Below are 22,592 nucleotides of genomic sequence, written 5' to 3'. Positions count from 1 at the left end.
TTTCTCCACTGGAAGCTACAGCAGAGAATCGGACAAGGAGGGAAGAAAGAGATTGGTGAGGGGGAGAGAGAGAGAAAGAGAGAGAGAGACACAAAGGAAGTGAGTGCAAGAGGAGCCGGCTTAGCATCTAAACTGTGAGTACTGAGCGAAAACAAACAGGCAGAAAGTGCCGCGAGTTGGCGACCCCTTGGCCGGGTTGGGGGCCCGAGTGCGGCTGAGGGGGACTTTCCTCCCCGCCCCGGGCTTGGCTGGGCGAAGAGGGGTCCCTAAGGCATGGGCGGGATGCGGGTTCAGGCACTCACCTGAAAGCTGACCGGCGGCGGGCTGCGTCAGCCGCCGCCCTAGGTCGACCAAAGAGGAAGCCCCCTCCCCGCCCCCATTGCCTTTGTTCCTTTTAAAGGATTTTGCCGCTGGTGGGATTGGGGGGAGTGTGAGAGGGAGCCTTGGCTCCGGAGGTAGCCGATCCTCCTGTCCCCGCTGAGTGAAACCCGCTTGGAGTGCCTCCTCCGTTTCCTTTATACCCCATGGTATGGAGTGGTATGAGGAAGGGGCTGTAAAGGGGTTAGGGATCAGGGGTTTGTGACACCTGTGCATATGTTTGTCTGGTACCCTTGGAACAGAGGGCCCCAGGAGACCCCAGTTTGGGGCCTGGGAGAAGCCATGTCCGTGGGCCAAACCACCAACTCCAGTATATGTGGAGGCAAACATGGTCCCAGGCTTAGAGGAGACACCAGCTACTCCCCACACACATCAGAGTCCTTCCTAGCCATTGTGTCTGTGGGGTCTAGGTCTGGCCAGACCTCTTGGCCATAAGCCTGCCTCCCACTGCCTCCCCATCCCTGGGGCCCTTGCATGCCTAAGAAAGGCCGGAGCTAGGAGCCCACCTGGAGGAGGAGCTCTGGCCGGGTAGGGGCCCAGGAAGGCAGCTAGACAAGGATAGGTGCTCCCTTTCCTGAGAAAGGGTCCATAACAGGGTGCCCCCGGGGAACAAGAGCTGGCCAGCCCTGCCAGTGCTGAGCTGGTCAGGAGAGGGCGTCTGGGGGCCCAAGGGAGAGCCCTCCCTTCCGACCAACATTCCACAGCCTCCGTTTGGAAGTGCTTGTATACTGCCTTCCTTTCCTCAACCCTCATTAACAAATTCTTCTTTTGGTCTGATTTAATCTTTCCTGACGATTTTTTTTTTTTTACATACCTTAATCTGCCAGTGAACAACTTTTCTCAACTTGAGCCTTAAGAAGGGCTAACTTTGGAGGAAAAGTCAGCTCTTTTGAGGCTGGGATGGGAACCCCTGGTGAAAGAGCTCTGAATTGAGGGGAAAGGGATTGTCCTCTAAGAAACCCCCTTTAGGGGTAATTTTGGTGGCTTATGCCCTCCAGGAGGACACAACGGAGGCCTGGGGCTGCAAACAACTTCTATCTCTCAGTCATTCAATGCCGGCTTTCCATTGCTCCACTGGGGCTGCCACAGAGGCAGGAAAAGAGGATCTCTCTCTCTCTCTCTCACACACACACACACACACACACTCACACCAGATAACACTTCCTCCAAGTAGTATTGGGCACTCTCTGAGACTCAGGGCCCCTCCCATTGCCCATACACCACCACCCCCCACCCCCATCCCACGCACCCCACACACACAAAGAGAACATCCAGGAGTCTCAGAGCTGGGGACTACCATCCTAAAGGCATGAAGAGGAAGGAGAGACCCTCAACTAGGGAGGATCAAATTCAGTGTAACCCTGGAAGAGGTGACATGAAGACTGGGTGGCAGGGGAGACCACAGTCCTGCTGACGTGACTGCTCTGAATTGCAGTCATATGCATATGGGCCTGTCTTCCCACTGGACTGCCTGCTGGGCCTCCCTGAGTGCTGTCTCCTGGTGCCTAGCACGGTGCCCATCCCACTGTCTGTGCTCGGTGCATATTTGATAAATGAGTGGTGTCCCTGAAGCCATTCTCCCCACCCTTCATCTCTGTCTGCCTCCTCCTCCAAGAGGTACTCCACAGGGGCTTGGGAGAGCCCAGTTCCATAGTTCTTTGGGCTGGGGCACCATCACCCCATGGGGGTTGAGGAGGGGCATGGAAGAAAAGGGGTGGGGGCAGGAATAGTGCTTGGGCAGACACTGAGACATTTCGATATTCATAAATTGCTCAGGTTGAAATGCATGTGAGTTTGCCAATGACCCATTCTTATATTTTTCTTTAACAGCTTTATTGGCTGAGAGGCAAAACTGTGGCCTGGGTCCTGGACTTGGGGAGGCTAGATTCTTGTAACACAAGAACCTCCCTGTGTCCTCCCTCCCACAGCCCAACCTTGGAGCTTATTGGAGATCAGATGCAGAGGCTGGGGGTACCCAGGCTGCGGAGACTCCCCCAGCTTCTGCCCGTGTTTGCTCTCCTGCCCCTGGGTCTCTTGCTATCTTCATTGCCTGGGACTATTGCCAGGTCTCCCGTCTCTCCCTTCCCTAAGAACCCAGGGCTGCCAGGCTAGGACCTCCCTCTGTTTGCCTGGGAAGTCTCAGAACTGAGGCTCCTGGAACAACTAGAGAAAGCCCTTGGGGGAAAAATTGTGCTTTCCTGCTCAGTGGAGCAGTGCCCACCCCACTTTACCTCAGGGGGCTGGGGGCTCCCAAGCTGTTAAATGAGAGGGAACCTGAGCTGTCCATCCTTTGGAGTAGAGATGGGACCTCGGAGCAGAGGGGACCGGAGTCATGGGGAAAGGCTACCTAGTGGCCTTTCTCCGTAGCAAGCACACTGCTGGTCTAGTGCAGGTCTGGAGGACAATGTATGTGGGAGCCTGCTGGGTCCATCTTCATGAAACTAGCCTTCTCGTGCGTTGGTTCTGGGCCAGGGACTGCACCCACAGATCCGTCTCAACCACAACTCCGAATCTGCAGGCTTGTTTGGGGCAGATAGCAGAATCAGATCCCCTGAGGCTCTCTGAAGTTTCAGCAGTGCCTTCCCACCCCCATGTGAGTGGAATTAGATTTCCAGGCTTTGCTGCCCACTCACACCCCATAACCTGTTCCAGCCCAGGGACTCTCTTCCCTGAGGGGACAGGCATAAGGGAGCTCCAAGCACACACCAAGCCTGAAATACAGGAGAGCTTAGATCTCTTGCTCTTGTTTCCAAGCTTTATCAGCCATTCATTCATTCATTGAATGTATACCTATACCATTCAGCCAACATCCATAGAATAATGTGAAATGCTTCTGATTTAGTCTTTTTGGATTGGAGTATATGTGGGGTGGTAAAAGCAAGTGGCTTTTATTTAGTATCTTCCTAATGTCCTGGTTCCCTTCCACCATAGGCAAAGGCAGGTCTGCTGAGCTCTAAGTCCCTGCAAAGGGTACATAAGTCTATGAAAGGCTCTGAGAGGATGAGTAAGCTCCAACGTAGACTCATGAAATTTTGGAGTTGTTGGGACCTTAGGTTTTATCTGTCTAACTTAATTCCAGATGCAAGGATCCCTTCTACATTAGCTTACCATTTATTGAGCAGCTACTGTGTGCCAGGCAGTGGGTCTGAGAAGTGGCTGTGCACCCTATGTTTGATGATCTCTGGTGACAGGGAGCCCACTGGCTCCTGTTGGAACAGTCCTACTTCTTTCCTTTCTTGGACTGAGCCCAGTTTGCCCCCCTGGCCCTTCCCTCTGTGACTTTCTCTGCTGCGGAGGGGTAATGGTTCACTTTTCTGGCAAAGGAGTTCTCCTCCTGGCTTAGCCTCAACCAGAGCCATCTCCAACCAGTGCCCTGATGTGGGCTGAGGTCCAGGGTGGTGACTGTGTGCCCTTGAAGGAAATGGTGGGACTGGGGGCTCCCTAAAAAGGGAGTTGCTGCAGCCTGCTCCCCAGTGAAACAGGCTTTAGTTTTCATGCTGGACCTGGCTTCTGCAGCTTGCACTAAGATTAAGGGACTTGTTACTACAGAGGAGGGGAGGGCACACCCACCAGCCAATCAGGCCAGGGACACCTGAGGTCTCTTCTCCCCAGCCCTCCCTCCGCCTCTTGCCCCAGGCCCCCTCATCTCTCCCTGCTGCCTCCGGTTCTGCCTGTGCTCCACCTCTGCCTCCAGTTTCTCTTTGTCAGCATTCTTCTTTTCTGGCTCTCTGCTTTCTCTCTCTCAGGCTTCTCCTACCCTCTCCTCTAAGAGCAAAAAATGCCCATCCAGGCAAGTTGTAGCCTCCATCAACCTCAGTTTTCTCATCTACCCAATGGGAATAATAATAATAAATATTTGTGTTACTGAAAGATGATCATTAAGGGGGACCTAGATGCATGACACAGTTTTCACTAAAAAAAAAAAGTTGCTTTTCCCCTTCTCGCCTTTTTTCTCCCATTGAGTTTCTTCTGCATTTCCATCTGCTATCACCTCTGTCCTCTTCTTCACAATTTCTCTCAGTGTCTCCATTCTGTGTCTCTCAGTTCCATCTCCCCCTCACTCCTGTTTTGTCTCCCACCTCCTTTTATTCCCTCTTGGTTACCCCCCCGACCACTCCCCCCAACTCCTGCCACAGGCGGCAGGGCCCAGGCTGTGCTGACAGCAAGGGCAGGCAAGCAGGGCGGGTGGCTGTCTCCACTTCTCATCAGAGGCCCAAGAATGTGTGGAGTCATGAGGGACAATGGGAGCCTGCGGCAGGAAGAATGGGGCCTCTGTTGGGGCAGAAGTTTCCCAAATCCGGCTGAATGGGAGTACCTGAGGGCTAGGGAGGGGTGGAAACTCCTGAAGTGGAGAGGAGGCCACTGGTGGTAGGTGTGGGGGATGGGCAAGGCTCTAGAATTGGCCACCATGGGAATTCTTAGCATCTGTTGGCATTTCTGGGGAGAGCTCAGACCTCAAAGGTGACTGCCTCTCTCCCTGGAGTGGCCAAGGAGGAAAGGGAGGAAAGGGATCCTGGGGGACAGAGCCAGGGGAAGCTAAAGAGAAAATGTTCCAGTGGCCCTGTGAGGTGGCCCTTATACACAGTGGATATCCCTTGGGCCCCTTGGGCTGCTGGGCCCCAGTTCTCACCACCAGCAAGCTGCAGAAAGGTTGTGGTGGCCCCAGAGGAGACAGGAATCGTGGGCATGGCCCCATCTTGAGGAGAGGGAGTCCTCGAGGTTCTCGCCCAGCAGTGGCCTTTCACTGCCCAGGTTCTCGGGATTGGAGGAAGCAGGGTTTTCCTCGGGAAAGGAGGTGAGGCTTGACCTGCTTCCTCTTTCTCCATATTTCAAGTGAGGTTCACTCCAGCCTGAGACATGATGGCTGTCCCCACCTCCATCCCCAGCCCAGTCCCTCTGGCCCAGACACACCTTAGAGAGAGATGCCCTACTTCCACAGCTTACTTGGGGCTTGTCAGGTGGGCTGGGATTGGTAGGCAGGCCAGGGGCTGAGCCCTTCATGTGCCCAGGGATAGGCAGCTGGGATTGGCAGGCTATGGCTGGGAATCCGAGCGCAGGACTGGGTGAGGGTGGGTGGAGGGGGCCAGGCTCGAGCAGGTCTGAGAAAGGAAATGGAAGGACAGATAAGTGCTGACCTTGTCCTCCCAGGGCAGGGGAGTGGTGGGAGCAGAATAGGGGTATGGGTGAGGAGAGGAACCAGGGCTGCGGAGAAGGGGAGGGGGGCCAGGCAGGAGAGGGGGGCCTGCAGGGAGCCGTCTCAGGTCTCCTGCCAAAAATTAAACTATAAAAAAGCTGGAGGGGAGCGGCAGGGGAAGGAAGGAGAGAAAGGAGATGGGGAGGGAGGGAGGGACCAAACAGCCCCTCTGCACCAATAGCCCGGCAGGGGGACGTGAGTAATACATGGCTGGTTCAGAGGGAGTGAGATCAAAAGCCAGTAGATACAAGAGGTTTGTGCTTCACCGACCAGACAGCCAGAGGCTCAATGAGACCTTTGTTACTCAGGCCCAAGTCAGGGTTGAAGGAATACCTGGCTGCCCCGCCTGCCCAGCCCGCCCCCACCCCCACCCCCACCGTCCTCAGGGCTGGGGGAGGGGCCGGTCACAAGTGAGTCAAGTTGAGTTGGGTACAGCTCAGCCCTGGCCGGTGGTGGGCGGGCAGGGGGAGGGAGGAGGCCTGCCCTCGCTGGGGCGTGGAGCTTCTCGGGGTGAGTGGAGGAGTGAGTGGCTGCCTGGAAGGCAGGAAGTGGCTCTGCGGGGAATTGTGAGGCGGACTGCGAGGGAAAGGGGGCCTTGTTGAGTCCGCCAGGTGAGCAGCCCCTGGGACCCCCAGCCCCTGGCCCAGCATCCCTTGGGAGGGAGCTGAGGGCATTCTGCCTAGAGTCCATGGCTTTATGCAGGGCCTGGGTCTGGGGTTCTGGGGGCCCATGAGAGAGGAAGGAAAGGAGAACCAGAGGGGGTTGGGGCTGGGGCAGATGGCCCAAAGTTCAGGTGGGAGGCCGCAGGATGCCTGGTTGTTTGGCCCTGAAGGTTGGGCATGTCTGGAGTGTGTGGAGGGGCGTGCTGTGCTGTGCTGTGTGCTGTGTGCTGTGCTGTGCTGTGCTGTTGTTGGGGAATGCAGGATTCCTGTCCAGTGAAAACAGGTTGCTTCTACCAGGGTTGTGCAGGGAGCCAGCAAGTGTTGCCCTGGGGCTGAGGGTACAGTTGGGGTGGGAGAGGCAGCTACTCCCTGGCAGAGGCAGGGCCTGATCTGGGCCTGGGGCCTCTTACCATCTTCTTGGGGGCCCCTGGGAGAGGTCTGAGGCCCCTGGGGCTTTCCTGAGCCTGGGCTAGCAGGAGCCCTAGAAGCCCACTTCTCTGAAGCTGATGCCTGCAGCTGACCCGTCATGGGAGCGGGTGGGGAAATAGCACTTGTGATTAGAACACACCTTTTCCAGGGCCCTGAGACCTTGGTTCGCCTTAACTCAGCTCTTCAATCCAGTCCTAGAGATGTCTGTGCTAACCCCCATGTCCTGCCAATGAGAGCGGCAGGGCACTGCGCACCCCTCCCACAGCCTTGTCAGGGATGGCTCCAGAGTGAGCTGCCCTCAGCTTGGGGAGGTTTCAGCTGAAGCCCTCTTTCTGACTCCAACCAGGTCTGGAGACAGAGATCTCACTCTCCTCTAAACTATGCAAGAATGGGTGTTGTCGGTAACCACCCAGACTGGTCTGGGTAGGTTGGCCCAGCCCCCACCCCTGGGGGCACTCAAGAAACCTATTTAACCCCTCTAAACAAAGGGTAGGTCCTCATCGCTGCCCTCCTTTACCCAGACCCTCCTTTGCCCTCTGTGCTTCCAGTGGCTGGACTAGAAAGAGTTAAGCTTTGTAAAGAGGGAGCCTAACCTGGGGCCCCCCATCCTGGGTACTGGCAGCAGCAGCCTTGAAAAGATCCGGCCTTATTCTCTAGGGAAGGGGTAGTTAAGGACCCTGGGCAGGGGGCTGGAAGCTAATTAAGGGAATTTGAGGAGGTCCTTTATGGCCAGGAAGCCACCCCTCCTCATACCCTGGAGTGAGGACCATTGTGTGAGGCCTTTGTAGGGCAAGAACTGGAAACTCATTACTGGGATGGCTTTAGTGCAGGTGGTGGAAGATGGTGAGAGAATTTAACCTGGGGGGCCCAGTCCTGGAGGGAGGCAGTGTGGGTGGGTCTGGGGTCGGGGGTGCTGAGAAGGGGAGTGAGGGCTTCTCGGGTGCCCCAGCTTCTCGCTTCCCTATGAGATTCCTGCCGCTGGACCCCTCCACTCTGCTGTGGCCTATGGCTTTTCATTCCTATGTGATTGCTGTCCCAAACTCATGTAGGGCTAAAAGCCATGGGCTACAGTGAGGGGCGAGCTCCTTCTCCTGCGCAGCTGCACCTCCCATGGGACCAGGTTCGGAGCCAGCCACCAAGGGGCACCAGAAGGAGGCTTTGCTTGGGGGTGGGGCATCACGGGATCTGGTAACCTGGGATCGGGGCTAAGCCGTGTGACCTTGGCCCAGTCACTTCCCTTCTGGCCCTGTTTCCTCACTCTGGAATGAAGAGACTGGGCCGGTGATTCCAGAGGGAGATTCCCTCTGAGGAAGGAAGGAGACCTTCAGGGTGTGCTGAGCTTTCTGAGTCGGTTCCTTCCCCCTTGCCAAATTACTGAGGCCTGGCTTATGGCCAGAGATTTGGGGGCTGAAGTCAAGGGCCTCAGGCCATGAAGACTTGGGCCTTTGCTCAGTGCCTCCAGGAAAACCTCACTCCTTCACTCCTTTCTCTGAGGTCAGCTTGGAATCTGCAGCCTTTTTTCTGTGTAAGGAGACCTCTGGGCTCTTTCTGAGGCTGAAATGGGAACACTCCATGCCGGCCACGAGGGAAGAGGAGGTGTCTGCAGAGTGAAACTAGGAAGGCAGGCGCTCCCCCGGGCGACAGGCTGGACTCCAGGGTCCCTGGCTCCTGGTGTGCTACCATCTCCAGGAGCTGCCCCCTCCTGCGGTGTGTGAAGGGCACCAGCCCTCCCTGCCCCCGTCCTGCTTGTCACTCAGCTTGCCTGGCTCCTCCCTATGCCTGTCGCCACTCCCACATTCCTTCCCCTGCCCCCTTTTAAATCGGCCTGATTTTAGCCCTCCCATCCTGGAAGATTCCAACAGGTGGCTGTGGTGGAAGAGGAAGCATCCTCGTACCCCGCCTCCTACTCCCTGTTCCAGTCCCCAGTCTGTCTAAGACAGACCACTGAAGAATCACAGAAAGCACTAGATTTGGTATTGACAATCAGAAGGCAAGTTTCTTATAATATCTCAGAGCCCTTAATTTCACCAACCAACACTTACTGGGTACCTACTATGTACCCCATGATTCTAACCGCCTCACCTGCACTAACCCATTTCATCCTCAAGACAGTCCTGTCTACTGTTAGCCTATTTAACTTATGGGAATTCTGAGGCACAGGGAGCTAAGAAATTGGCCCACGTTCATATGGATAGGAAGGAGCACAACTGGGACGTGAACCCACGTGGTCTGGTGCCAAAACCCATGCTCTTAGCACATCATGCTGCATATTGGGAGAGCCAACACCAGTGCATGGGAAAGTACTCTGAAAACCAGGGAGTGCTGTACCCAGACGGGAGGTTGTTCTCACGAGATCTCTATTGGATGCACGTCCACAAATTGGCCCCGTGGCCCAACTCCAATCACCCTTTGTCCATCACTGGTTTTCCTTTTCCCACAGGAGGTCGGGGGGAGCGGGGGGATCAGAACAATAGGAGAAGCAAAGAGAAATCCCAAGCCAGCTGGGTTTTTGCTGGGGCTGATCCAGGCTACTTCCCCTCCTGCCCCAGCTTAGATGGTGAAAGGAACAAGGCATGAGAATTGGCCAGGGTTTCTTACTTGCCCTCTGGGTTCTCTCACCCAGAGTTCAGAGATGGCTGGCACCTTCCTCCACCTCCCTCATTGTCCAGCTGCCCTGGGCCCACAGTGAGCCTATCCTGTTCCCTACCCTGCTCTGAGGCTGTCCAGGCACCTGATTTCCTTCCCTTAACTCCTGATCTCCTAACTGGAAAGCCAGGTTAGAGCCATGCCACCTTCCTGCCCCCTGCAACTGGGCCCCTCCCGGGAATCCTGTTGTTCAGTTTGCCCGGGTAGTCCCCAGCACTGGGCTCAGCCTAGGAGGAAGGGTACAGATGAGCCATTCCAGAGATTATACCTCTGTAAAGCTCTAGCAAGGCAAGGGACTTTGTAGGGATGGCTGAGTAAATGTTTGTTGAATGAAGTACGAACTGGGAGAAAAGATGGATGGGGTAAAAGAGGTAAGTTGCCACCAGCAGGGACATAGAGCAAGCCCACAGCTCAGCAACTCACCCGAGACAGTCCTCGCTTTGCTGGGGCTGGGCCTGGATTGCTTCTGGGGGTTACAAAGGTGGATCTCCATTCTATTCTTTGTCTCTTGGCTACTGCCAATGGGACAGGCCTGGAGAAGATATGTGATTGTATATTTCACATGATTGTTCAATTGCATTGAATAAGCAAGTTGCCCTCATGTCCCTTCTCCCTGGAGGATTCACAGATCAGAGGGCTGTGTGTGTCCTGTCCCCTGCCTGCAGACGGCTGAAACTTTATTCCCAGCAATCTAAGTCTTTTTTACAGTCCTCAGATATACCCAGCATAAGGCCTCCCTTGCGAGAGTGGGCCCATGTTTAACAACACTGAATTCAGATGACTCTCTCTTATTGTATTTGTTCCATTTTTAGTGGAAATAGAGTTTGACTACTAAGCCCTACTCCTTCCTAAATATAAAGACTATTGGGGAAAAAAAGTCTCTCTCCCCATCTTTCGAAAGTTTGACACTAAAGTTTGACCTTTGGGGTTCATTCTGGCGCTGACAGTCTGGTCCACCAGGTTCCCAGCTGCTGCTGCCTGTCACGTTGCCCACTCTTACGGTGGGCCAGCCTCTGCCGAGCCAGGCTGGAAAACACTGAGTGCAGGCCACAAAGACATTTCAGGACTATTGCTGCTCTGACCTCTCCAGCTCCCAAGAATCTCAGAACCACTGAGAATGCTTGGCTGCCCTTGCAGTCTGGAAAAGTGGAGGGAGCTTTCTCCATAGGTGGGCAAGCAAGATACAAGGGTGGCTGGTCTGGCAAGCTAGGGTCTGTGGTCTCTGAAGGCCATTGGAGGCAGAGGCCTTGGCCTGTGATTCCAGAGAGCTCGGTGAGCCAGAGGCTAGAGCTCAGGCTCAAGCAGGCCAAGAAGGAGTTAACCTCCAAGGAGAATGCGGGCTTCTCCCAGACTGGAGGTCTGTGCCCAGTTTTGCTGGTGCCAACTCCGGGAAGAAGTCCTGGGATCTGTAGTTTGTGCCACCACCCACCCCTGGCCTGCCTGTTTATCAACACGGTCTTGTAGACTACAGTTCCCAGAAACCTGCAGAGGCTAGGCTTTGGGGGAAGGGGTGGGGAAGGAGGCTCCGTGGCGGCCAGAGGGAGAGGGAGAGGGAGGAGGTGGGGAGAGAAAACCCAATTCACCCCCTTCGTTTTTAATTCTTTCTCCTGGTGTGTCTGCTCCACCGCCCGAGCTAATCCCCCAAATCCGGTCTCCTAAGCCGCAGCTGCTTCCCTTCGCAGTGATGAATGGCTCAGGGAGGGAAGGTGAATTCATATTTTAATTACTGAGACGCGGTGCTAAGGGAGCCGGGGAGGGGGCGGAGGGCTCAGCTTTGTTCTAGAGGCGTCGAGGGCACACCCTCCTTACTGGGTCACTTCTCTTTTGCCCTTTACCTGGGGTGGGGGGTGGCGGGGAGTTAAGGTGGGGGTTGCCTTGCTGAGAGTGCCTCTGCTCTCTGCCTTGGGAGATGAAGGGATGGGTCGTGGGGGGCGCAATATCCCTCTTCTTGTTTATCAGAGAATTGCTGGCATGCCCCAGCACTTTTAAATAGCTTCCTAGCCTTCCACCCCCGCTGCCGCCCACTCTGATGAAGGACATTGCCAAAATTCGAGACACCTAGGAGTTTGTGGTCTGCAAGCCTGGGGCCCTGGATTTCTCTTTATCTTACTTTCTGGCCTGCTCTGAGTCTCCTCTTTCTCTTGGTTCTTCCACATGTTCATGCTGTCTCTGACTCACTGCCCCATTTTTGCCAGAGGTGCAAGGGTTGGAGGACCCCAGGAGAGTATCTGGCACAGAGAGATGTGGGGGTCAGGCCAAGGGAAAGGATCAGCAGGGAGGCCGAGGAACCTCCTAGTGGTGGGGGAGGACGGATGCTCTATGGATTGGCATCTCTTCTGCTTGGCTCCCACAAAGCTGGCTGGGCAGGGCATCGTCTGTGCCCCCAGACCGTAAACCATCTTGGACCTGAGCTGGGAAAAAGCCAGAGAGGAGGATGGGGAAGAAGCCAGGGCCAACAGCTTGCAGTCAGATGCAGCCAACTGTGTGGTAGCAGGAGGTTTGTCCAGTGTCCACCCTGCCTCTCCATCCTATTCTGGGCTTCTGTTTTTCTGGGGGCTGTTTTTCCATTCCTTAGTCCCTCCTGGACTATGGGCATGGAAAAGGAGGGGGAGGATGGGAGGGGAGTTCCCATGATGAGCTCTGATGAGTGGGGAGTGGACCCAGGTGCTAGTCCAGACTCCTCCCCCTCAAATAGACGCAGCAAGGGGACCTGACTTCAGGGAGCCTCCAGCTGGTACTGGAGCCCTCTGCCAAGGGTGAAGGGGTAAAGTCAGGGAAGAGAGTCGACAGGACTCCTGCTCGAGCAAAGCAGAGAGGAGCAGAGACCACAGCCTGGCAGAGGGACTCCCCAGGTACCTGCTGCTGGGGACTCTGAGGGAGGAGTGGGGTTCACAGCGGGCAGGGATACGGAAATGGGTTGGAATTCTCTGCCCCATGTCCCCCCACTTCAGGGGCTGGCCCGGCAATCTGCATGCTGCAGACAGAGCCCAGGCAGCCTCCGGGGCATGGAGTTGTGCACCTTACAGTGAGGACCCTTTTAGAGACCCTGTTAGAGAAGAGGAAGGATAACCAGAGCACTTTAGAGCAAAGATCTGAGCAGAATAACCAGGCCCTGTTTATGATACTTTCTACTCTTAGATACAAGGACCCAGGAATCCCACTGAGGCAGCCAGCCCTCGAACACCTCTCGGGAGCCAGGCTACAGCCCCTAGCCCAGCTCCTGGCCAGCTTCATTAGCTCTCCTTTCCTCTGATGTGTAGGTTCTGGTTCCTGTGACCTCACTCCCCATCCTTCCCTACAGTGACAAGCTGAGCAAAAAAAGCCAGGATTTTCTTAAATTCCCCAAAGGACCCTGGGGAGGAACGGGTCATTTAAGGGGGTATATTCTGCTGTTTTTAAGAAAGAACAGTCATTGAAAAGGAAGTGGGGTGAAAAGGAAAGGGGATCGATGCACTCTGGGGCCAGAGACCCTGAGCTGCACCTTGACCTGTTTGTGGGGCTGCTACCTGCCTGGCTTGTTTTAGTTGGGAGTTCCTTCCCAGATTAGCCTTGTTGTGCCTGTCAATTTCTCCCCATGTATTTTTCAATAATCATGGGACTGCTTTGTTGATCATACCCTTGACTTATATCCCCAGCAAGAGAAGTGCACGTGTGACAATAACTGATTACACGGGAATCCACCTGCCCTCCCTCCCTCCTTCCGGATCAAGTTAGGATTCCAGCCCCTTAGGTTTGGGGTCTTAGTGTTAAATCTTGCCTAATCTCCTGGTACACTGAAATGAGGTAATGAAGGCCCAGAGAGATGTAGCCACTTGCTTAGGATGACACAGCATGTTAGCATCAGAGCCAGGAATAGAACCCAGGCCACCTAAGTCCCAGATTGGATCCCCGTCTCTCTCTAGGTTTGTCACAGGAGGGATCCAGAGATAGCTGCAGGGGATAGATCTAGAAATATAGTAGTTGTGTCTTGGCTCTATATATATCCTGGAGGTTGCTCTCTGCTAACTATATATACTCCACCAGAGTGGGTGTGTAAATGATGCTGGAAATCGGGTTATTAAATAACCAGCCTACCTACCCATGCTGACTCAAGCTGGGCCTCCTGCCCATCCAGCTGGCCAGTGGAAATGCATTGCACCTATTAATTACAGCTATTAGCTGTATTACCGGGACGCTGAGAGGCTGAGGGAGGGGAGAATCTTGACAGGACTTGGATCCACCGGGCACTGTGCTTGGTGTGGGCCTTGGCTCTGTCTGGAGAAACACGAAGGAAGTTTTTCCAAAAGGGCAAGGTTGTCCAGACCAGTGGAACTGTCCAGAGAGCCACCATCTGGGCCATGCCACATTCCTCAAAGGCAGTGAAACCACTTTGCACATGTGCCTTGCTGGGGTAACCCAGGACATCCTATGCAATCTCTATTGCTTGAGGGGCTGGAGAAGGGAGGCGCCTCATGCTTCCCTATTCCAAACCCCTTCCGCATAGCCCTGTGCCTCCCTCCTTCCCCGCAGCACTTGGGCTTCACTCACCTGCTTGCCCCCATGTTCTTCCTGGAGAGAGGAGTGATTCAGACCAGGCCCCGGCCTGACCTCCACGCAGGGCGCTTTCCTTCCTTTGTTCTCAGCTTCTCCGCTTGAGTGGCTTGAGTGCACTTCTGCTCCCTTTCCATAGGCCCAGGGGCAGAGGAAGGGCAGAGAGGTGAACTGGAAAAATCTGCAGGTGGTTAAGGCTAGGGAAACCTAAATGAGCCTTTGGAGAAAGGGATACTCTTGCAGACTGAAGCTGAGCTCCTGAAGCTCCCTCTCTTCCCCAGCCAGACTGCAACAGATACCAGAGCGGCCCCTGGCTCCTGCTGAGGGCCGGGTCAGCCAGAGGTGGGGGACAGCGTGTCCAGCTGGGGCAGATCCAGCCTCAGCCTCTACCTCAGACTTATGTGCCAGGGAAGAAACCATGTCTTTACCCTTTTGTATCTACCTCTCAACCCTTTGCCCAGCATAGGTGCTAAATAAAAGAGCCTGTTGGCTAAAAGAACCCTCTTTGCTGTCTCTTCTCTGCATGGTGAGGATGGGATTTGCATTGCCCTGAGCAGTCAAAGGAAGGGTATAATTGCTCCCTATAGGCTTTCCTAGGGTGTCAGACAACTTGGGGTTGTTAAGGAAGGGAGGAATCTGACTCGGTCCCAGGTGTCAAAGTAAAGCTACACTGGATGAAGGGGTCCGCATTTGGATGGAGGAGGGCCTGTCGTGTGTGCAACCTGCAGAAGCGAGTGGAAGCCCCCAGCTAGAACCTGGTGTAAGGTGGCACAAGCCGGAGGCTATTTTAAGCCAGCTTGCTTCCTGTTCCCCAACCACAGGTATATGGTGATGAGGTGGGGCAGAGCGGGTGGGAGGGGAAAAAAGGAGGCAGCAGCTGGGCATTCTCTTTCCTCCCTTGGACTCACCCTGTCTCCAATGTGAGGAATGACATCAGCTCCACACAGATCAGGAAACACTGAGGTTTCAAAGAGCTGTTGTTTAGAGGCTTGACTCCTCCCCCAGCCGGTGTGAGAGACCTAGCGGGCCGCCTCAGGGAGTGGCAATGACTGGGCCAGACCCAGAGGGTTCTGGGAGCATTAACCCCAGCTTGCTTCTCTCTTCCTGCCTTTCTCCTGCCCCCTCTCCCTCCCCTGCCTTTCCCTGCAGATCTCTGGTGAGTGTTCCCCCAGCCTGGCGTAGGGCATGCCCCAGTTCACTTTCGCCTGCTTCTGTGGTCTCCACGGCTTCTGCAAAATGAAGAGGAAGAAGGAGGAAGTTCACAGAGAGCGGGAGACGGCGGTGTGATCAGAACCAGGGCCCCTCCATCAAGCCCCCAGCAGGTCCCAGGCCTGATGGTGCCTGCTTCTGGCTGGGGCTTGGAGCAGGAAGCCGTGTGTGTATCTTAAGTCTTGATTTAGCCAGTGCTCTTCTCAGCCTGACTCTCACCCGAGGGCATCAGCCTCCTGTGTGCCTCTCATCCTCCTCATGCCCACACCCATTAGCTTCCAATTCTCAGACCTCCTTGGAGAGAGGCCCCAGCCACACAAGGGGGAACCCCAGGACCTGCCGCATGCCTTCCAGAGACTGAGAAGCCCCAGGGAGGCCAAGGAGTGAAACTTCTTTCCTGCCCTGAGAGCTTCGGGGGACTCTTCTCAGGGTAACCGCATGAGGCATGTGCCGCCTTGGGCTAGGAGAGCTGTTGCTAAATGGGAAACTGGCTGCTCTAGCAGAGAACTTCCAGCAGCCCTGACCCTGGAGAAGGCCTCCAGGGCGGAAGTGTGAGACTCTCCTGGGATTCCAGGACCTGGGGCAAGAATCCTTTTCCAGCCCCCTGCCAGCATCCTCCTGGGCCAGGTGGGGCCAGGCCTGAGGTGGCCAGCCCAGTGAGGAGGAAGGCAGAGGTGGCCAGTGGCTCCGTGGCTCCCTCTGTTCTTGCTCTCCAGAAAGCAGTGTTTCCTCCAGCCCCGGCCCTGACCCACCCGTGTTCATGATGCCTGTGCCTCCTTGCCAGCATCACAGATGTGGGGAGGCCTGTTCCCCAGGCCCTGACTCCCCTCCTCAGGGACTGTCTTGCCGTGGCCAGACTGAGGGACCCCTTTCCTGGACTGAGCCGTGCCCTCCCTTGATTCTCCTGTCTCCCCTGCCTTTTTCTTCTCTCCTCAGAAGCCATAGAGGGGACTGCGTTCATATGTGGTGCCTTCAGTGGAAACTCTTAGGGTGGGGGGACCTCTAGGACCTTCCTCGACTTTTTCCCTCATCCCCCACCCCCGCCAACCTTCCAGCTTCAGCCTCTGCCCTTACCCCCAGCCCATTTCCAGGAGGTAGGAAGCAAAAGAAAAAAGCATTTCCTTCCCTCTTTCCTTCTTCCTTCCTTCCTCTCTCCCTTCATTTTGGTATAACTTAGCCTTTTGTCTTTAATCCTGGAGTTCTCCGGGGCTAGAAGACAGGCAGAGACGAATGCCAGCAGCAGAGATGCTTCAGGCAGATTCTGTAAGCCTGTTCTCCCTCATCAGGGAGCAGCTCAGCCAAGGAGCAAAGTCAGACCCCCTCTAGCTCCCCAGGGACAGAATAGCCCTTCTGACAGGTAAACAGGTGACCTGGGTAGAGAGGGCAAGGCCCCAAGATAGGAGAGTCAGGGCTCCCCTTTCCTTGGAATGTGGGCCTCTCTGGGCAACTAGGGAGGGCAAAAGTCTTCCTCGGCTGGTTCGCCCAAAACCTGGGAGAAGCAAGGGCACATTCTATGCTGGCAGCCTCTGCCTGCCCAGCTCATGCCCACACTCAGGGGCCTTTCCTGGGCTTTGGGCAGATTGGGTGGGATTCAGGTTGTCTTTATGAGGCTTGAGCACAGCTTGAGTTCCTCCTCCCATCCTCCAACCCCTTCCTTTGCCCCTACCTCCTAGCCCCCACCTTCTACAATCTGTTATTTCCTTTTATATCCAAAGAATTATAAACAGAAGTCCTTCCCTCAAGGGAACAGCAAGATTCAGCAATAAAGGCCAGTGGGGTCACAAAGGACAGAAGAAAAACTCCCTGGTTCTTTGTCCTCTTGGATAGTAGAGGCCTTGGGTGAGGCAAAGAGATGGGCAGAAAAAGTTACCTTGATACAGAGGCCAGAGAGCCTCCTGGAGGGCATGTGTTTCCCTAGCGGTCACCTGCGAGGCTGCAATCCTAGAAAAGTCACTTCTGTGGCAGAGGATGAAATTGTATCCCCGGAGACTCAGAGATATTGGGTGTTATGTCCTGACCACACAGGCTCACCAGGAGGAAAGGTTAGGAAAGTGGAGAAAGTACGTCCTGGGGAGCGGGTGGCCGAGGAGAGCTTTCCCCTTGTGCGCCTCTCAGGCCTTGGCAGGGATTGCAGCTGCAGGGGTTTGGCAGTGAGCCCATCCAGAGAGCTTCCTCCCCCGGGAGAACTCCCTTGGCTCCAGAGGGATACTAGATATCTTGAGCCCTGGCTTTGGGAACATGGGTGGGGTCCCAAGGTCAAAGTGTTCTGAGTGGAGGTCCAGTTGTCCTCTGCCTCCAAGCCGGCAGCCCCTTCTTCACCCAGGGCTGAGGTTGGGGCCAGCACTGCAGCTGGAATTGTCTGAGCAGGAGGTAGCAGCTTCTAGCCAGGCACACCCCAACCCCACATTCTATTGTCCCTCAGTTTCCTTCTCAGGAAAATGGGGACTTTGCTCCTTTTAGCATCTCAGGAAGCAGTCTGGACACCTGTGCCCTCCTCTAGGCCCTTGGATGAGCCCAGGGAATAGGGAAAGGCCAAAGCAGCCCCAGCATTCGCAGACCCTGCGCCCTGGGCCTCTGACTTCGGGCCAGGCTTCTGCTCCTTCTAGGGTTGGCCTGGCTGCCCTGCCTTCCCATCCTCTCTCCATGGTTCTCTCCCAGAGACTCCACCTTGAGGTGGGGGCCCTGAGCTCTTGGGGTGAGGGAGGGGCACATGGGTAGATGATTCTGTGGAGGAGATCAGGCCTCTTGTTCTTGCTGCGTGGCACTGATTCCTCCTTGCAGATGGGTGAGGGGGCCAGTTTTCCCCATCTGTAAAGCGAGGACTTCCCATGGCCATTTTCCCTCTTGGGCTTCAGGCTGCTGAATGGAAGATCAAGAAGTGTGAAGGGTGCTTGGGGTCCTTGTGACTTGAGTGTTGCCTAGGACCCTGGCCCACAGGACCCAAGGGGCTTCTTGTCTCAGGTTGAAACCTTTTTATCAGAATGTCATTTCCTTCTCTGCTCCCAGGGAAGGGCTTTTTGCATGTAGCATATGGGTTCATAGAAATATATAGGGAGATTGTTATTTTTAGGAAAAAAAAAGAGCAATAATTAACTAACTGAAATACACATGAAGTGTTAGAGTGGGATGCAAGGAGCACTGAGCTGGGAGCCAGGTCTCCTGGCTTCTAGCCCTGCTTGGAAACTAATGACCTATGTGACCTTAGACTAGTCATGTCTTATTTCTGAGACTCAGGTTCCTCAACTATAAATAGGGGATTACATAAATTTCCTCTTAAGTCTCCTTTGGAGTCCAGGGCTCTGTGAGTCTGGGAAGTTGAGCCTCAGTGGGGCATAGGGTTGTGGAACCAGAGGGTCGCAGGTTTCCTCTGCCCTCACAGATGCACTCCGTGCAGACAACAGACATATCTGGAGGGTGGATGGAAGTGGTATGGTGGCTCTGAGAAGTGAGAGGGGGAGTGAGAGGGAAAGGCAAGTCACCCAGAGCTTCTGCTAGAATCTTCCCCTAGCCAGGGCCCAGGACTCCTTGCAGTTCTGCCTCTCTTCCCTCCTACAGCCAGGCCCAAGGGGAGTAAGTCAGTTGGCCTAGACTCTGACTCCAGGTCCTGTCTAGGCCATCACAGGCGCCACTCTTATGTACGTTCTCACTTTCTCTCTGTCACATACACACAGCATCACCACCACCACCACCACAACCACCTGCAGATAGATGCTCAAGTGATTCTAGAAGAGATCTCAAGGACTGGCGCTCTGCTCCAGTTATGTAACCCATGGGCTTCCCTTTGCACAGCTCCTCATGTGCTCATCTCCATGCTGATCAAACCACCCCACCTCATTCCTTGCCTTCTGCAAGGGGAAGTGCCTCAGGCTGGAGTTTGTCCTGTCTACAGACTGAATATGCATTTTGCCCAGTGGCTGGAGATGTGCTGGTGGTGGAATGTGCTGGTGATTGTTTCTGGATGGAGAGCCACAGCCCCCCAGTGTTCTGCCATGACTGACTCCTGACCTTGGCAAATTGCCTCCTCTCTCCCAGCCTCCTCCATAACAGGTGGCGATGAGTCCCATTTCCTCCCTACCTCACAGGAAGGCACGCATTATAAAGGGCACACTTATCAGATGTGCCCAGATGTGGCTGGAACTTTTGGAGACAGATACTTGGTTCACAACTGCAAAGGTGGGCTTTCACCAGAGAAGAAAATCTCTGGGCTGCTGAGTTCAGTGGGCTCCTTGCAGGCTGGTCCAGGAAGTCTGGTGTTCCTCCTGAAGGTGGCTGCTATGTCCAGCAGGTGATCAAGCTGACAGTACCACAAGAACCAAGAAACAGAATCTGTTCCCAAGGAATGAATGTTCTATCTCTCTGACCCAAAAGCAAGAGCAAGAGAGAGCTGTCACCATCATCACCCTGCTCCCAACACAAACACAGCCCCCCAAGTCCATATTGCTGACAAGGGTATCTGCCTTGTCAGGGTGAATCCTCTGGACCCCAGGCCATCCCTGGAGTGGTCAGTGCCCACTGTGCCGGGGTTATTGTGGCCAGTCCGCCTGGGTTCGCTTCTCTAAATTTCCATGGGATAGGAACTATAGATCATGAAGAAGAAACAGGAACCTTGACTCTTCACGGAGGAGCCCAGGAGGTCAGAACCATCCACCAGGAGGGTGAGCGGTAGCTGCCCAGGGCATCCCTGGAGGAAGTCGTCATACTGAGGAAGAAATTGCCAAAGCCAAGAGCTCCCAGACCTGGGCAGCTCAGGAGCTGACAGAAACCACCCCCCAGGTCTGGAGTTCAAGGGTTTTCCTCGTGGGCTGCTGGTCTGTCTCTTTCCCTTCTGGGGCAGCCGTCTCTCCTCCTTCAGCTCATTCCCGTGTTCCATCTGAGGGGCGGGAGGAAGGCAGGAGGGGGAGATGGCAGGACCCAGACAGATCCTCAGGACTCTCCCAGCCTCTGTTGCCATGGCAACACTGCTATTTTTATCCCGTTGTTCATGATGCTCAAAGCTCTAACTTTCTCTGTTCCAGAGAGGCCAGGCTGGTTTCTGCCCTCATCCTTTAACACAGCATCTTCTCCCAGAGGCCTGAGGATGGGAAAAAGTGATGGAGAAAAGGGGAACCCCTAAGGTCACCCCTCAGCCAGGGGGAACTGTTTAACAGGGGTTTGTCTCTGCCCTTTTGAGCCTTTGGTTTTCTACCTGGCTCAGGCACCCAGGTTTATGTTTTCTAGATCAAAACTCTGCATGGTCTCCCTGAGAGACTGGAAAAGAGCTGCCAATCAGGATGGATTTTTTCCTACACAGGTATGACACTGCAGCCACTTCCCTTCTTGGGAAAATTAAACTTCATTCTGAAGAATGTCCTGTTGGTGGTATAAGCCAACCCCTGCCCTCCTAAAAGGGGATAGATAATTAAATTTGGTTAATTAGCAATCAGATTCACTGGGGAATTGAAACCAGTACTTCCCTTTCTTCTGTCCCTCCACCAAAGAACCGGAACAAATGGCTTCATGTCTTTGTCCAGTCTTTCTGCCTAAAGCAAAATAGCATATATTCTCCAGGCTGAAAAGTAGATTCCTCCTCACCCCTACTCAAGATGGCCACATTTCAATCCAGGCTCTTGAAGACAGGGTCTAATGAAAGGATTTCTGTTCTTTCTCTGTCTGTTCCCTCTGGCCCAGCTTCTAGTCCTCTCCTTATGTCCCCACCTCCATGGCAGTGGCAAGAGACCCCTGAGAGTCAATGGTGCTAACGTTCCCCACCTATATACCCCTATGTAGTTTATCGAGATTTGAACCCAGCACCTGGGTGGCTGTGTTGGGCGGATACATTTCACGTCCTCAAGACCACAACCCTGGCGACAGGTCTGGATTAATTCTGTAAAGTAGCAATCTATATCATGCTAAACTCCTGCACTGAGGTTCTTCCTCGGCTGAACTGACTCGTGGATGGTTAAGTTTCCTGGGGTGGCTGGAACCCATTTACTAAGCCTCTAATTGGTTTCATTTTGGCTCAAGTTGCATGGTTTCCCGAATCTATGCACCTGGAGTAAGCACTTTTCTGGTTGCCACTGAAAAGCATGCCGGCAAACGCTGCTCTGTTAATTGCTGTAATAAACAGACTTTATTATATCCCTTTGCAGTAAATGGATTATGTTGTCAGGGTAGAAGGGGCATCCGTGTTTATTTTGCACTGTGATACACTGCAGCAGCAGAAGCTAAACATTTGTTTCCATCAAATCTGCTGAGAGGAGGGAGAATGGAGACTGGGGGGAAGAGTCAGGAGTATGGACATAAAGTGAGGTGTTGGGGCCAAGAAGGAGGCTTTGGGAGACACCCCAGGTCTCCTGGAACTCCGTGAGCCTCCGTTGTGCTATCTCTAAACTGAAGGAAGCCAGGCCTCATGCCTCTTACCATCTCAGAAATAATGGTGGGATAAAGCCAGCTGGAGTGGGTGGGTGTGGGGAACAGGGAAGGTGGTTTAGGACTACAATGTGATCACATAGTCTTAAAGGTGCTTTTAAGAAAGAGAAAGAGCCAGGCGCAGTGGTTCATGCCTGTGAGGCCAAGGTAGGAGGATCACTTGAGCTCAGGAGTTAAGACCAGCCTGGGCAACATAGCCAGACTTCGTCTCTACTAAATATATATATATATAATATATATATATATTTTTTTTTACTTAGCCAGGCATGGTAGCATTCACCTGTAGTCCCAGCTACTTGGGAGGCTGAGGTGGGAGGATCCCTTGAGCCTGGGAAGAGATCATGCCACTGCATTCCAGCCTGGGCAACAGAGCAAGACCCTGTCTCAAAAGAGAGAGAAAAAAAAAGAAAGATAAGAATCCTTAGTTGGGCTTCTCAGAACCTAAGACTGTATTCACAGAACACACGGGAATTTTCAGACTTATAAAAGAGAGAAAGATGCTATAAGATGGCATAACATTAAGAACAAGAATTATTATATCATGTATGTGATTATATATCCATAAAGCTGTTTGAAAAAGAATTATTATGTCATAACTCCACTTGGATGGGGGAACAGAGATTCCAATGATCTCTGAAGCAGGACGCCCTGAGAGAGGGCGGAGAGATCAGGCCATCAAGTCTAACCCCAAAGCCAGTCTCCTGTAAGGCAAGAAGTGATTTGGGCCAAGACGAGACTCAAGTATCACACAGGCAGCTGTTGTTTAGAGCGGTGGATTGACTGCTCCTGAGAGGGCTGGCTGCCTCTTCTGCAGGCTCAGCCACCATGATGCCTAGCACAAAGCGCTCACTAAGTGTTTGTTAAGTGGTCTGGGGCAGATATGACCCCAAGCCTTTCCATCTTCAGGAGTCCGCCAAGATGCCTGCCCCAGTCCCTCTGCTGTCTGCAGCCCAGCCTTCACCCTCTTGCATGGGGAAATGTATGCTGTGCACTGCTGTTGACTGAATCTGTTCTATCAATATTGAGTCCCGGCCCTATGCAAAGCCCTGTGGGAGGGGCTGCAGGAGAAATGTAGGAAAGCCAGACATTGCTCCAGCCCTCGAGAAACTCACAATTTAATATTATTTTTCTTTTTC

At 54.1% G+C, this 22,592-nt stretch overlaps 2 protein-coding genes and 1 non-coding gene across 6 annotated transcripts in view, besides 8 other annotated features; all 3 read left to right on the top strand.

The window, feature by feature from the left end:
* Window positions 1-5: 5 nt before the first annotated feature.
* Window positions 6-21,165, top strand: BLACAT1 (BLACAT1 overlapping LEMD1 locus). Of its 4 annotated transcripts, none has more exons than NM_001397426.2 (2): window positions 6-134; window positions 14,989-21,165. In NM_001397426.2, exon 2 carries the CDS (start codon window positions 15,025-15,027, stop codon window positions 15,124-15,126), a length of 102 nt encoding a protein of 33 aa, NP_001384355.1. In that variant the 5' UTR covers window positions 6-134; window positions 14,989-15,024; the 3' UTR covers window positions 15,127-21,165. The 4 variants fall into 4 exon arrangements, with proteins under 4 accessions (NP_001384355.1, XP_047277145.1, XP_047277146.1 ...); XM_047421189.1 differs by lacking the exon at window positions 6-134 and adding an exon at window positions 6,085-6,183; XM_047421190.1 differs by lacking the exon at window positions 6-134 and adding an exon at window positions 10,906-11,015.
* Window positions 5,859-6,068: a silencer, noted in NCBI's record as "silent region_1740". NCBI's record gives its function as "represses an Ori minimal core promoter by ATAC-STARR-seq in GM12878 lymphoblastoid cells {active_cell/tissue: GM12878}" and the evidence as "EXISTENCE:reporter gene assay evidence [ECO:0000049][PMID:35858748]".
* LEMD1 (LEM domain containing 1) overlaps window positions 6,085-22,592 on the top strand; it is a 68,589-nt gene continuing 52,081 nt past the window's right edge. The window contains exon 1 of the mRNA XM_047434586.1: window positions 6,085-6,183. The gene's annotated coding sequence lies outside the window, so the exon portion shown is untranslated. The remainder of the gene's footprint in view (window positions 6,184-22,592) is intronic.
* MIR135B (microRNA 135b) lies at window positions 7,653-7,749 on the top strand. Its single transcript, NR_029893.1, has one exon. It is a non-coding gene; the product is annotated as a microRNA 135b (primary transcript).
* Window positions 9,759-10,270: an enhancer, noted in NCBI's record as "H3K27ac-H3K4me1 hESC enhancer chr1:205414909-205415420 (GRCh37/hg19 assembly coordinates)". NCBI's record gives its function as "activates a minimal SCP1, AML or CMV promoter by ChIP-STARR-seq in naive H9 embryonic stem cells {active_cell/tissue: H9 hESC(naive)}" and the evidence as "EXISTENCE:reporter gene assay evidence [ECO:0000049][PMID:30033119]".
* Window positions 10,271-10,782: an enhancer, noted in NCBI's record as "OCT4-NANOG-H3K27ac-H3K4me1 hESC enhancer chr1:205414397-205414908 (GRCh37/hg19 assembly coordinates)". NCBI's record gives its function as "activates a minimal SCP1, AML or CMV promoter by ChIP-STARR-seq in naive H9 embryonic stem cells {active_cell/tissue: H9 hESC(naive)}" and the evidence as "EXISTENCE:reporter gene assay evidence [ECO:0000049][PMID:30033119]".
* Window positions 12,317-12,829: an enhancer, noted in NCBI's record as "H3K27ac-H3K4me1 hESC enhancer chr1:205412350-205412862 (GRCh37/hg19 assembly coordinates)". NCBI's record gives its function as "activates a minimal SCP1, AML or CMV promoter by ChIP-STARR-seq in primed H9 embryonic stem cells {active_cell/tissue: H9 hESC(primed)}" and the evidence as "EXISTENCE:reporter gene assay evidence [ECO:0000049][PMID:30033119]".
* Window positions 14,550-14,669: an enhancer, noted in NCBI's record as "active region_2380". NCBI's record gives its function as "activates an Ori minimal core promoter by ATAC-STARR-seq in GM12878 lymphoblastoid cells {active_cell/tissue: GM12878}" and the evidence as "EXISTENCE:reporter gene assay evidence [ECO:0000049][PMID:35858748]".
* Window positions 15,071-15,652: an enhancer, noted in NCBI's record as "H3K27ac-H3K4me1 hESC enhancer chr1:205409527-205410108 (GRCh37/hg19 assembly coordinates)". NCBI's record gives its function as "activates a minimal SCP1, AML or CMV promoter by ChIP-STARR-seq in primed H9 embryonic stem cells {active_cell/tissue: H9 hESC(primed)}" and the evidence as "EXISTENCE:reporter gene assay evidence [ECO:0000049][PMID:30033119]".
* Window positions 15,653-16,232: an enhancer, noted in NCBI's record as "H3K27ac-H3K4me1 hESC enhancer chr1:205408947-205409526 (GRCh37/hg19 assembly coordinates)". NCBI's record gives its function as "activates a minimal SCP1, AML or CMV promoter by ChIP-STARR-seq in primed H9 embryonic stem cells {active_cell/tissue: H9 hESC(primed)}" and the evidence as "EXISTENCE:reporter gene assay evidence [ECO:0000049][PMID:30033119]".
* Window positions 17,395-17,976: an enhancer, noted in NCBI's record as "H3K4me1 hESC enhancer chr1:205407203-205407784 (GRCh37/hg19 assembly coordinates)". NCBI's record gives its function as "activates a minimal SCP1, AML or CMV promoter by ChIP-STARR-seq in naive H9 embryonic stem cells {active_cell/tissue: H9 hESC(naive)}" and the evidence as "EXISTENCE:reporter gene assay evidence [ECO:0000049][PMID:30033119]".

This window comes from Homo sapiens, chromosome 1, assembly GCF_000001405.40.
Source record: "Homo sapiens chromosome 1, GRCh38.p14 Primary Assembly".
In the NCBI taxonomy this organism is placed as follows: Eukaryota; Metazoa; Chordata; class Mammalia; order Primates; family Hominidae; genus Homo; species Homo sapiens.
Note: the sequence above shows the minus strand (reverse complement) of the source record. Positions and strands in the feature narration are given on the sequence as shown.

Bases quoted from the DNA above. Each gene is read 5' to 3' on its own strand.
- BLACAT1 (NM_001397426.2), top strand. From the start codon at position 15,025: ATGCCCCAGTTCACTTTCGCCTGCTTCTGTGGTCTCCACGGCTTCTGC.